Consider the following 14,632-nt stretch of genomic DNA (forward strand, 5'->3'; position numbering starts at 1 on the left):
ATATACACATATACAAGCATATATATATACATATGCAAGCATACCCACATTATGTACATATATGTAATATATATATATATACACACTCACATATACATACACACACACATATATTTACACATATCTTTATAAAACACAGACCTAGGATATTTTCCCTAGAATCAGGTCCAAGGCAGATAGTTGAAAAATGTCTGATTTCTAATTTGTGGTTGAAATAAAACTAAGAACATTTCATTATTTTCATCATGATTTATTTTGCTGACTTGTTGAACATATGCAGGCTTGTTACCTGGGTGGACTGTGTGATGCTGAGGTTTGGGGTATGACCGATCCCATCACCCGGGTAGTGAGCATGGCACCCAATAGGTAGTTCTTCAGTTCTTACCCTATCCCTCCCTCCACCCTCTAGGAGCCCCCAGTGTCTGTTCCTCTCTTTGTGTCCATGAGTACCCAATATGTAGATCCACTTATAAATGAGAATGTGCAATATTTGGTTTTCTGTTTCTGGATTAGTTTGATTACAATAAGAACCTCCAGCTCCATCCACGTTACTGTAAAGGACGTGGTTTTGTTCTTTTCTGTGGCTGTGTAGTATCCCACAGCGTCTATGGACCACATTTTCTTTATCCAGTTCACCCTTGATGGGCATTTAGGTTGATTCCATGTCTTTGCTATGGGGAATAGTACTGTGATCAACATGCTTGTGCAGGAGTCTTTTTGGTAGGATAATTTATTTTCCATTATGTATGTATCCAGGAATGGGATTGCTGAACTAAATGGTAGTTCTCTTTTTAGTTCTTTGAGAAATCTGGGAGATATGTCTTGGAATGAACTTCATATAGCTTTTTACTGCCTCCCTTTTAAAATGCTTCCAGAAGGCTGTCCCTTATTTGGTGCACAGAAACTGGCTAAAAAATAAATGTGACCAGCTGGGAGTGGTGGCTCACGTCTGTAATCTCAGCACTTTGGGAGACTGAGGCAGGTGGATCACCTGAGGTCAGGAGATCAAGACCATCCTGGCCAACATGGTGAAACCCCGTCTCTAGTAAAAATACAAAAAATTAACTGGGCGTGGTGGCGGGCGCCTGTAATCCCAGCTACTCAGGAGGCCAAGGCAGGAGAATTGCTCGAACTTGGGAGCCAGAGGTTGCAGTGAGCTGAGATGGCTCCACTGCACTCCAGCCTGGGCGACAGAACGAGATTCCGTCTCAAAAACAAACAAACAAACAAAAATTAGCCAGGCATGGTGGCACACACCTATAGTCCCAGCTACTCAGGAGGCTGAGGCAGGGGAATCACTTGAACCCGGGAGGCGGAGGTTGCAGTGAGCTGAGATCTCACCATTGCACTCCAGCCTGGGCGACAGAGCAAGACTCGGTCTCAAAAAAATAAATAAATATAAATACAATTAAAACAAATAATATAAAAACGTGACCTGCAGCCACCTCTCCAAGGGGCCTGGATACCAATGGAAGGAAGTGAAAAGGAGGAGATGAAAAATTTACACCTTGAAAGCTGAAAGTGTTCTAATATTACCAATGCTGTGGAGTCAGACACATCGAAAGTGACTCTAATACCTCCTGACATCCTTATGTTATGAATATGTAGACAATAGCAAATTATTCTCCGCTTTTTTCCAGCTCATTGAAACATGTTAGGGAGGAACATTTCTGCATTGACAACAGCTTTAAATATTTCATTAGTGCTTGGAAGAAACACAAGAATCTGTGACGCAGAAGGGAAATGAAAAGGAAAGCTTAGTCTCCATTTAGTTATGTTCCTCATAAATATTTCCCAGAGGCAAAGATGTTCTCTTTCATATTAAAAATACAAATAAACACTTCTCATTAGCCCAAGAAAATATTGTAGAGATTTTCATTATCCAAAAAAGGCACACTTTCAAGACACACGGAACAGAGACGGCACATTGCCTTAGCTTGCTTCTGGCTAGCATGTCTGGCTATTGACCGGATTTTATTTTTAAATGACTAAAATAATATATTAACTAAATGGTAAAATTCATATTCAGCATTGGCTTGAGGGCATCGGAGGGTTTTGGCTGGCCCAGTCATCTCTACCAGTGAAGAAAGCAAGGAAATAGGTCATTTCACTCAGGGACAGCTTGAAAACAGAGATTTCATGGAGCTTCCTCATTCCGTCAGCCTAGAGTGGGATTTTGGCTGTCACCCTTCAAGGATGAAAAGGTGCAGAGGACATTGGGCTGCAGACAGGGCGCTCGTTTAAATGATTTAAAAGTTTTGGTCAGTCGTGGTGGCTCATGCCTGTAATCCCAGCACTTTGGGGCGCCGAGGCGGGTGGATCACCTGAGGCCAGGAGTTCGAGACCAGCCTGACTAACATGGAGAAACCCCATCTCTACTAAAAATACAAAATTAGTCGGGCGTGATGCCACATGCCTGTAATCCCAACTACTCTGGAGGCTGAGGCAGGAGAATTGCTTGAGCCTGGGAGGCGGAGGTTGCGGTGAGCCGAGATCGTGCTATTGCACTCCAGCCTGGGCCACAAGAGCAAAACTCCATCTCAAAAAAAAAAAAAAAAGTTTCCATCTGGCTGGACACGGTGGCTTACGCCTGCAGTCCCAGCACTTTGGGAGGCTGAAGCAGGTCAATCACTTGAGGTCAGGAGTTCAAGACCAGCCTGGCCAACATGGAGAAACCCCATCTGTACTAAAAATACAAAAATTAGCCAGGCGTGGTGGCGGGTACCTGTAATCCCAGCTACTCTGTAGGCTGAGGCAGGAAAATCACTTGAACCCTGGAGGCAGAGGTTGCAGTGAGCTGAGATTGCACCACTGCACTCCAGCCTGGGCGACAGAGCAAGACTCCGTCTCAAAAAAAAAAAAAAAAAAAAAGTTTCCATCTAAGCGAGCTCTGTTGGTTCTCCCACCTCTGACCTTATGAGTTTTCTTCTTTAACCTGCACCTTGTTCTCTGAGTCACTTTGCACTTGAAGGTACAGCTACAGCTTCCCCATCAGACTTGTTGGTCGTTTATCAAAGGATGAAAAAGTTCTTCCTCCTTTGGGTCTTTAACCCTGTTTCCTGGTGTAAGACAGCTTTTATGTTTGCTACCTGCTGGAATCAACTTGAAATTTTCTCCCAGAAAATTTGTGAATTTATCTTGTTCAAGTTACTTGTGGTCAATAAGTTAATAAAGATAGGTAGACAGACAGACAAATACATTGATACAGATAGATAGATTCATGATAGATGATTGATAGATAGATATTACACAGATACATAGATACATATCTTAGACCTGATATATACAGGGTGGGTGGATAGATAAATGAATAAATAGATAGATAGATATTACATAGATAGATAGATACATAGATTAGACCTGATATATACAGGGTGGGTGGATAGATAAATGAATAAATGGCTTGATTGATGGATTGATGATTGATGGATTGATGGATTGGTAGATAAATGAATAAATGGCTAGATACATGATTGATTGATTGGTAGGTAAATGAATAAATGGCTAGATACATGATTGATTGATAGATGATAGAGATTAGATAGATATATAGATACATAGATTAGACCTGATAGATATATGGATATATATACAGGATGGGTGGATAAATGAATAAATGGCTAGATACATGATATAGATAGAGCCAATACATACATAGGTACATAGACAGGGTAGGTGGGTAGATAGATGAAGACATGGATAGATAAATATACACAGAGATAGATCAATGATAGAAATGGGTATATAGATATATGAATGATAGAAGATATTTTGAGAGAGAGATGATTAATAGGCAATTGATTGACATATTAGATGACAGATAAAAAGTGGGTAAAATGCAAGTAAACTGTAAGCCAAACGTCCACGTGGAATAGCGTGGGAAGCATTGAGAAGACGCTTTTTGGTGCTACCTGTTTAAACATTGAAAAACTGAGCTAATACCCTCCACAGTACGATAGAGGGGAGGGCACTGGGAATTTATACCTCCCAGGAAAAATAAATCATGGTAAACAGGCAGAGATCTTTCCAGATTCCAGTTCTTGGGGGTAAAAGGTCCCCAAGATGCCCAGTTTGTGACAACCTGTTTTGAACTATTCAGCTCAAGGTTTCCATTTTTTCTCCCAGGGGAGTTGCCTCGATTCTGATGTGTTTGCTTCGGTGCTCTGTGTATTGTATTCATCCCACTCTTCAATTCATAAACTCTGGAGATTCTTCAATTCACTGGGCAAACCATATGCCTAAGTCTATCCTCTGATGGAGGCTCGTACATGCAAAATCCAATAGCAACCTGGGAAGATTTCAGTCAAGACCCAAGAGGAGGCTGGCATCAGGCTCTCGGTCACCGATCTTCACATTCAGGTTTCCTGATGCACTTTGCGACTCTTTGGGCAACCTCTGGACTCCTTGTTCCCAGGGTCCACATTTAGTTTTATCTTTACTGCATTGCTTTTATGAAAAAGAATAAAATTGGATGAAACAGATACAGAGTATTGGTGTCAACCTAAGTATTGGTGTCAACAAAGAGATGGTTTGGATCTGGTTCCCCACCACATCTTAGGTTGAGTTGGAATCCCCGGTTTGGAGGTGGCGCCTGGTGGGAGGTGACTGCATTATGCGGGTGGTTTCCATTGAATGGTTTACCACTGTCCCCCATGGTGCTGTTGTGGCGGAAGTGAGTTATCATCCAATCTGGTTGTTTAAAGGGTGCAACAACTTCCCCACCCCGTCCTGCTCCTGCTGTGGCCATGTAAGATGTGCCTGTTTCCCCTCTGCCTTCCGCCATGATTGTAAATTTCCTGAGGCCTCCCCAGCCGTGCTTCCTGTACTGCCTGTGGAACCGTGAGCCAATTTAAACCTCTTTTTCTTTATAAAATTACCCTGTCTCAGGTATTTCTTTATAGCAGCGTAAGGACTGACTAATACACTCTGTAATAGAAAAGATGTTTATTTGGGAGTATAGTAGTGCGCTGAGAATAGATGTGCCATATTAAACTGTGTTCATATTCAGGGAGGTAAAGGGGAAAAAAGGATTTTAAAGGAAATAATGAAGAGGATTCCATAATTCTTTTCAAATGATTATCCTTGGCTAAAAAGATCAATAACATGGTGACACCAGTCTGAGTTTGGACAGCCAGTTTTTGGGCAGATGTCCTCGTGGAAGTATTTTTCTTTGCAAGGGTGAGATTTTTGCAGTCTCTTACGATAGTTTTTGTTATCAGGCATATAAGCATAAAAACCATTAATATACACTAGAGATGCATTGAAGAGCTTATAAAATTGTTAAGGTTTTCTTCTTTGGTCAGTGTCTAAAATATGAGTCAGATATTTCCTTGGTTATCTTTGAGATTTATGTGGTCCCAGGTTTCTCCTGGGTGGGTAGAAATTACTGCAGCATGTACAAAACTGTCCTTCATGCCATATTTCTTCCTACCATTATACGATGAAAACTAACAAAAGAGAGTTTTATAAAATGTTCTTCCTCTTTCTCTCTGGTACCAATAGGAAGCACAATTGTTTCCCCATGGTTCTTCACAAAGGTTCTATTGCACTAAGTTTTAAAGCCTTGTGTATACACAATCACATTCACATATACCACACATACACGTGCATATACACAGTTACATCCGTACAGATACATACATGCACATGTATACACAGATAAACACATACATGCACAAATATAGACACATACACAGACACACATTCACATGTATGCGGACACACACACATAGACACATATACCTATGCACAGAAACCATACAGATATACACATACATAACATACATGCACAGGTATACATACAAACATACACAGATATGTGCATACACATATACACACATAACACATGCATGCACACATATCCACAAGCCTGCAGATATACACACGTACACACAGATATGCATATTCATACATACCAAACATACATTCATACTTACACCTATACACACACATACACAAACACATACAGAGATATACACACATGCACACAAATACATACACACATACATACACAGATACACATGTACATACATACCAAACATACATGCATACTTACACCTACACACATACACAAACACATATACACAAACACACATACACAGGGATATGCACATGCACACAGATACCCACATACACACGTACATACTCACATAGAGTTACACACACACACGTGCACACGCAACTTTGGCATAATGGAAATTTGATGATTGGTCATTGGAGTCAACCATACAGCCCCTGTCAGAAACAAAGGACCAAAGTCGAAGGGGACATGGATGCACAAACATCTCAACATCTACGGAACCACGTAACTTGGAGAAACATGCAACCAACTAAGGACAGAAGATTCGAGTGACTGCAACTCTGTTTTTTTTTTTTTTTTGAGATGGAGTTTCGCTCTTGTCACCCAGGCTGGAGTGCAATGGTGTGATCTCGGCTCACCGCAACCCCCGCCTCCTGGGTTCAAGCGATTCTCCCACTTCAGCCTCCTGAATAGCTGGGATTACAGGCATGCACCACCATGCCCAGCTAATTTCATATTTTTAGTAGAGATGGGGTTTCTCCGTGTTGGTCAGGCTGGTCTCGAACTCCCAACCTCAGGTGATCCGCCTCCCTCGGCCTCCCAAAGTGCTGCGATTACATGCGTGAGCCACCGTGCCCGTCCTAACTGCAGCTCTTACTTTGGAATTCAGGCAGCTACGGAGCCAAGATTCCTGGAGCCCACAGGCGTGTGGCTAATACATTTCCCTTCCTTTCCATAGAATTGGGTTGGTTTTGTTGCACTGGGTGTCTGGTAGCTCCGGAGAGAACAAATATAAATGTGAAAATGCATACCTTGGTCATCAGTGTTTCTCAACAATTCTCCATCCCACTTAACAAGGCCTCTGCTAGAACTCTGGGGTCCGTTCCAAGAGGAAAAACATCCCTGCCTAGAAGAAGCAAATGGAAGAATGTACTCTATGCTGCCATGTGTGTTCTCATCAGGCCTTATCTAAGTTTCTCACCAGGAGATGTTGAAAAATATTGCTTGATGGACGAAGGGTAACGTACTGCAGTTGTTTATTGAGAAATGCCAGCCGTCATCTCTTGCTCGTTAGCTGCTCTGAATGCTCTTAGAAGGCACCATTCATGCCGCTGTATTCGGGACTGCTGAATTGTGCCACATTCCTTGGTGTTACGCGTGTCTCTTGTTGATGAAGTTCTAACCACAGTGCCATTGTGAGGCTGGAAATGTCCTTGGGTGAAAAAGCGGCCCCTGGGTCACCTTTCCCATGATTCAGGTGCATGTGAACCCCTCTAGTGCTTTACTGCCAGGGTCCAGGAGAGAGGGAAAGAATGTCACTGTCCCAGCATCCTCTAATTTACTTGACAACACAATTGTTCTAGTGTCAAGAGTTTTGTTTTGTTTTGTTTTTGAGATAGAGACTCGCTCTGTCCCTCAGACTGGAGTGCAGTGGCACGATCTCGGCTCACTGTAACCTCTGCCTCCCGGGTTCAAGTGATTCTCCTGCCTCAGCCTCCTGAATAGCTGAGATTACAGGCACCTGCCATCATGCCTGACTAATTATATTTTTGTAGAGACGGGGCTTCACCGTGTCGGCCAGGCTGGTCTTGAACCACTGACCTCAGGTGATCCGCCTGCCTCAGCCTCCAAAAGTGCTGGGATTACAGGCCTGAGCCACCATGCCCAGCCAGGTATTTTTTTTTTTTTCTTCAGCTCAAGAATGAAGTTTTTCTTAGTATCCTGTAGCTAAAATGATGCTTCTCCAATTTTATTTATTAAAAACGCCTAACGCTGGCCGGGTGCAGTAGCTCACGCCTGTAATCCTAGCACTTTGGGAGGCCAAGGCAGGTGGATCACGGGGTCAGGAGATTGAGACCATCCTGGCCAACATGGCAAAATCCCGTCTCTACTAAAAAAAAATAGAAAAAATTAGCCGAGTGTGGTGGCGGGCGCCTGTAGTCCCAGCTACTCAGGAGGTTGAAGCAGAAGAAGCGCTTGAACCTAGGAGGTGGAGGTTGCAGTGAACCGAGCTCGCGCCGCTGTACTCCAGCATGGCAACAGAGTGAGACTGTTTCAGAAAAACAAACAACAAAAAAAAACAACTAATAGTAATGATCACATTTTTGGGCTCAAACATCTTAATTCTGGAAAGAGGAGATGCCACAATGGATACCACACTAAAGAGATGCTCTGGAGAATTTTGCAAGGGAAGAAATTGTCATCTTAGGGAGGGCACACTGGGGAAGCTTTTCAGACACTGGTCATTCACCGGTATGATTAGAAGAAATGCCACACAGACCTCAGGATACCTTGACCCAGACGGGGTCACTCTGATGCCTTCTGAAGTGAGAAATTGATCACGTTACCACAGCTAGTCACCACTCACTGGGTGACTTCAGACAAAGAAAATTGACGTTGTCACCGTTCCAAAGACCAGAAGTCTGAGATCTAGGCGTGAGCAGGGCTGCGCTACCCTGGAGGCTCTAGGGGAGGATCCTTCCTGCCTCTCCCAGCTCCTGGGGGTTCCAGGTGTTCCTGGGCTTGTGGCCACATCACTCCAATCCCTGCCTCCATCTCCACGTGGCCGCCTCCTCTGTGTCTCCAAATCTCTATCTCCTTGTAAGGACACTAGTAATTGGATTTAGGGCCCACCCTAAATCTGGGATGATCTCATCTCAAGATCCTTCACTTAAGTATGTCTGCAAGGAACCTATTTCTAAATAAGATCCTGTTTCTACATTTTGAGGGTGAGGACATGCACATCTTTTTTTTCTTTTTTTGAGACAGACTCTCACTCTGTCACCCAGGCTGGAGTGCAATGGCACGATTTCAGCTCACTGAAACCTCCACCTCCTGGGTTCAAGCGATTCTCTTGCCTCAGCCTCCTGAGTAGTTGGGATTACAGGCGTCCACCACCACACCTGGCTAATTTTTGTATTTTTAGCAGAGACAGGGTTTTGCCATGTTGCTCAGGCTGGTCTCGAACTCCTGACCTTGTGATCCGCCCGCCTCAGCCTCGCAAAGTGGTGGGATTACAGACGTGAGCCACTGTGCCTGCCGCACATATCTTTTTATGACTCACAACAATATGCAACTCTGGCATGCAATCATGCTAGTGGTTTACTTGGGCAGACCCTCCAGGCCTGCGTGGCAAGGGAGTGGGGGTTCACGCCACAGCAAAGAGGAGGAAGGAAAACCCCTGTGCTTCAGCTTTTTCGGATCACAGGAAAGAGCAAACCCAGCAATTCAAGGGCAGCGGTCAAAGACTGCAGGTATAGAGCATGAGAAGCAGTGAGCACAGGGCTGGAGGGGGGCACAGAAATGGTAGCAAAGGTCAGGGATATGAGGGGATAGCTTGAGGTGGGGCCGACCTTCATGGGAGGGATGGCAGAAGGCGAAGATGATTCAAAGGGAGGATGGGGCACCGGTAACATCAGCTCCAGGAGCTCAGGAAAGTGTAGAAGGGAGCTCCTTCTCCATCCAAGACTGACCCCGTGTCTCTCACGCTTTGGTGCAAGGATGCATGGATGCTGAGACTCATAGGAAGGGTGTGTGAGGCATGAAGCATGTGGGAAGTGGAAAAAGGGAAAGAGGAGGAGAAGGGCTGTGGGGAAATAAGTGAGTAGAATTGAGGAAACAGACCATTGACTTAATTCTTGAAAGGATTCAAAGGCCAGGTGCAGTGGCTTATGTCAGCAACCCCAGTTACTCAAGAGGCTGAGAGAGGAGGATCACCTGAGACCAGGAGTTTGAGATCAGCCTGGGCAACATGGTGAAACTCCGTCTCTACTAAAAATACAAAAATTGGCTGGGCAGGCTGGTGGGCACCTGTAATCCTAGCTACTTGGGAGGCTGAAGCAGGAAAATTGCTTGAACCAGGAGGCATAGGTTGCAGTGAGCTGAGGTCGTGCCATTGCACTCCAGCCTGGGCGATAGAATGAGACTCTGTCTCAAAAACAAAAAAACAAAACAAAAAAGATACGGGTTGAGCACAGTTGCTCATCCCTGTAATCCTAGCACTTTGGGAGGTTAATGCAGGAGGATTGCTTGAGACCAGGAATTCAAGTCCAGCCTGGGCAACATAGTGAGACCCCATCTCTAAAAAAACAACAAGAAAAACACAAAAATATACATCATGACACCTGTATTCACACTCCTCATATACTGCAGACAAATGCCATTTTGAAGAGAGGGAGCTTTATTCCTGAGTGGGCGGAGGAAGAAGGATGAATTGAGGAAGTGTGTTCATTACTTGTCAGCTGCCAACACTGAAAACAACACATGTTTATTTTCTTACATTTCTGTAGGTCAGGAGTCTGAAATGGATTTCACTATTTTAAAATCAAGGTGTTGGGAGGCTTGCAGTCTCTCCAGAATCTCTAGGAGAGAATTCATTTCTTACTTTTTCTAGTTTTTACAAGCCACCTGCCATCCTTGGCTCATTAGCCGTTACCCCATCTTCAAAGCACATGACTCCGACCTCTGCTTCCATCCTCACATCCCTTTTTTCTGCGGTTAAATATCTCCCTTCCTCTCCTTATAAAAGCCCTGGGACCCCACTGTGATTCCATAGATCATTCAAAAAATGTCCCCATCTTAAGAACCTTACCTGAATCCTATCTGCAAATTCCTCTTTGTCCTAAAAGTTCACAAGTTCTAAGAATTAGGATGTGGGCATCTCTGGGGACCAGGATTGTACCTGCCACATAGGGTTTGAACACCTGATGGGATCTGGGAGCCTGATGAGGGAGGGTGTCACCCCTGAGGGGCTGGGTCAAAGTGAACCAAGTAGCTAGAACAGGTGGTCACAAGAAGTTGGTGATTCCCAAGGGCACCAGCTTGGGAGAAGTAAGTGGGGCAGCTGGGGACCCCTCCACCTCTAGGGTCATGGATTTGGAGCCAGGCACTGAGAGCCTCCCACCAGGAGAGGGCACCGTCTACATATAAAGAGAAAGATAGGCCGGGCACAGTGGCTCCTGCCTGTAATCCCAGCACTTTGGGAGGCCGAGGTGGGTGGATCATCTGAGGTCAGGAGTTCGAGACCAGCCTGGCCAACATAGTGAAACCCCGTCTCTACCAAAAATACAAAAATTAGCCGGGTGTGGTGGCGGGTGCCTGTAATCCCAGTTACTCGGGAAGCTGAGACAGGAGAATTGCTTGAACCCAGAAGGTGGAGGTTACAGTGAGCCAAGATCACACCACTGCACTCCAGCCCGGGCTGGAGTGAGACTCAGTCTTAAAACAACAACTAGCTGGGCGTGGTGGCACACACCTGTAATCCCAGCTACTTGGGAGGCTGAGGCACGAGAATCGCTTAAACTTGGGAGGCGGAAGTTGCAGTGAGCCGAGATCACGCCACTGCACTCCAGCCTGGCTGACAGAGCGAGACTCCATCTCAAAAAAGAAAAAAAAAAAAAAAAAGAGAGAGAGAAAGATACACATTGTATATGCAGCAGGACCAGGCCTAAAAGCAACTAACACTAACAGAGAAGTTTTCAAACCTCAGGAAGATGGACCCAAGCCATATCACTGGCTTCTTTTCAAGGGAAAATTTGATTTTTTTTTCCCTTAACTGAACTCTTTTGGGCCACCCTGTTGACTGTAATGAGCACAGACTGCGTTTATCGTGGGAAATGAACTTTGCAATGAATTACTCCAAGAAATGATGCCGTTAGCAATGGGTACATGAGTGGAAGCAACAGCAGCGTGGGATCAGAGCCAGGATCTGAGAGATGCAGAGCTGGGAGGCAGGAGAAAGCTGTCTGGGAGCAAGCAGAGGGTGCTAGACCCAATGAACATGGCAAGCAAGGCTAGACCCTGAGGACAGTCAAAGGGCCATTTTCAAGGTTGAGGACTGACTGTGGCCTCACTGTGTTCCCCTCCATGGCACGCCATACCTGAGCTCCTCTTTCCCTCCTCACTGAGCCCCACAGGATCCTCGGTTCCATCGACCACAGGCCCTTTGCACGTACCACACTTGCTACACAAAACTTTCTGCCTCTACCTTGTGCTGTCTTCATACTTCAATTGTCAGCTCCACTGTTAGCTCCATGGTCACTTGCCCTTAAAAGTTCACATCTGTGGCCGGGTGCAGTGGCTCACTCCTGTAATCCCAGCACTTTGCGAGGCCGAGGCGGGCGGATCACGGGGTCAGGAGATTGAGACCATCCTGGCTAGCACGGTGAAACCCCATCTCTACTAAAAATACAAAAAAAATAGCTGAATGTGGTGGCATGTGCCTGTGGTCCCAGCTACTCAGGAGGCTGAGGCAGGAGAATCACTTGAACCTGGGAGGCGGAGGTTGCAGTGAATGGAGATTGCGCCACTGCACTCCAGCCTAGGCGACAGAGCGAGACTCTGTCTCAAAAAAATTTAAAAAAAAATAAAAAAGTTCATATATCTGTGTCCCTGCCTGACCCAAGCTGACCATGTTATAAGCATCTAGAAGCCTCACCTCCTTACTGCGGCTCTGACCACGGCACTACTTTTATATCCTGTGGGCAATTTTGTTTAAATATCCGCTTTCCTCGTTAGACGCTAAGCAACATGGGAGTGAGTGTCTGGCCATGGTTTGCTCATCTGTGCATCTCCAGGACTGGCTGGGTTCCTGGGTATGAAGAAGCAGCGGTCCACACACATGGGTGAACCTGTGCTTCTTCTCACCACTACACTGCTTGGCTTCCTTATTTCCTTCCTGTCACCTGGAATGCCTACCCTGTACTTCTCTCCAGCTCCAACACCATCATTTACCACCTCGTTCAGCTCCCAGGCATCCTAGAAGCCTTTCCTGACCACAGGGGTGCATCGTGGTGCACAATTCCTTCAGCTGCCACTATGGTGCAAGATGAGTCTAGAAGAACAGTTTTGCTGTGCGGTCACCCTTACTCACTATTGTGATTTTGCCTTTAACATATTGAAAAAGACACAGAAAACACACACCATCCGATCAGTTAGTTGCAGACACATCGCCCGATGCTAAGAATGTGCTGTGTTTTAAATTGACGTCTGTTGGCTCTTCAGCTTCTGCTCTGGGCTTCTTATGTCCCCACTCGGCCCTGAATCCCATTCCCCCAAATCTCAGTAACTTTGGTGGCTTTTGCACCAGCCAAAATCAGATCCTAGGTCTTGAGCAAAACCAAGAGCAAGGAAAAAAATCCCACATGGGAATCTGAGACCTCACTCTAATGACTTCAGTTGCTGTTGACTTGATTTCCTTCAACTGCCGAAGGAGGTTAGAACAGTTTCCTCTTGCTTCTAGGACAAAGCATCACAGACTTTGCAGCTTAAAACAATGCACATTTCTTTGCTTACAGTTCTGGAGGTAAGAAGTCTGAAATTAGTTTCCTGGGGCTCCCATCAAGGTGTCAGCAGGGCTGGCTTCCTTCTGGAGGCTCTAGGAGAGAAACGGTTTGCTTGACATTTCCAGCTTCTAGAGGCTGCCTACACGCCTTATTATGTAGCTGCTCCCTCCATCTTCAAAGCCAGCAGTGTAGCATCTTCCAATCTCTCTCTAACTCTGACCCTCTTGCTTCCCTCTTTCCATGATAAAGACCCATGTGATAACATTGGTCCTACCTGGGTAATCCAGTAATGTCTTCTCATCTCAAGCTCAGCTGATCAGCAACTTTCATTCCATCTGCAACCTTCATTTCCCTTGCACAGGTTCTGGGAATCAGGACATGGATATCTTTGGAGCCTGCTATTGCTTCTACCTACAACTGGTGTTACAAGACTTGGCCCACTTAATCTTGCAAATTCTTTCTGCCCCTCTCCTGTGCTTAATGAGATCTGTTCTCTATGAATGTTCAGGACCTCAGGAGTAGGGACCCCAAAGGCTGGGGGCAAAGTAGATGTGACAGGTGCCAAGCATAGGATGTGTGACCAGATTCGGTCATGTGATTACATTGTGAAGTGACCCAGGCATTTTCATTAAGAAGGAAAGTGGTTGTAGGAGGAGGAAATTGAACACAACCCACACATGGGTGGTTGGAAAATCTGAGACCTCTCGTGGGCATGCTCATCCATTTCACTCACCGGTACAGGGGAAATTCTTAGACCTGTCAGTGCAACTATTTGAAATAAACATCCAAGAAAGGCAGCAAACTTCAGGTAGGATGAAGTCAGAAGTCCACCCTGAAGCACAGTAAAAGCCACAAGACAGAAGTGACTGATCCCATCCCAGGGATCCTAAAGAAGATTATCATCAGACTTCTCATTGGAAACTTTGGAAGTCGGAAGGCAGTAGGCTGATAAATTCAAAATGCTAAAAAAGAAAACCAATGAAAACATGCTAACCAAGAAAAAAAAATGCTACATGGCTGAAGAAATCATGCAGAAATCTTAGCAACATTTTAAATGATCCAACAAGGTCTGTTGTTTCTGCGCAAATATGGGCAAACATGAGCTGGTATAGCTTATTTTTATGGGTGCAGGGAGCATGCAGTTATCTCCACTAGCATGTTTTTGTTTGTTTGCTTTGAGATGGATTCTCACTCTGTCGCCCAGGCTGGAGTGCAGTGGCACAATCTTGGCTCACTGCAACCTCCGTCTCCCGGGTTCAAGCAGTTCCCTGCCTCAGCCTCCTGAGTAGCTAGGATTACAGGTGCCCACCACCATGCCCAGCTAATTTTT

At 45.2% G+C, this 14,632-nt stretch overlaps 1 pseudogene across 2 annotated transcripts in view; it reads left to right on the forward strand.

The window, feature by feature from the left end:
• The window catches only part of CD99P1 (CD99 molecule pseudogene 1), a 47,965-nt pseudogene that overhangs the window by 24,584 nt on the left and 8,749 nt on the right, over positions 1–14,632 (forward strand). The window contains exon 10 of one of the 2 annotated variants that reach the window (NR_033381.1): positions 4,126–4,481. The exons of the other annotated variant lie outside the window; for it this stretch is intronic. The product of NR_033381.1 is annotated as a CD99 molecule pseudogene 1, transcript variant 2 (transcript). Of the gene's footprint in view, positions 1–4,125; positions 4,482–14,632 lie in introns of those variants that run through there. 2 annotated transcript variants of the gene reach the window in all.

The sequence above is a fragment of the Homo sapiens genome, chromosome X, assembly GCF_000001405.40.
Source record: "Homo sapiens chromosome X, GRCh38.p14 Primary Assembly".
NCBI classification, from domain to species: Eukaryota; Metazoa; Chordata; class Mammalia; order Primates; family Hominidae; genus Homo; species Homo sapiens.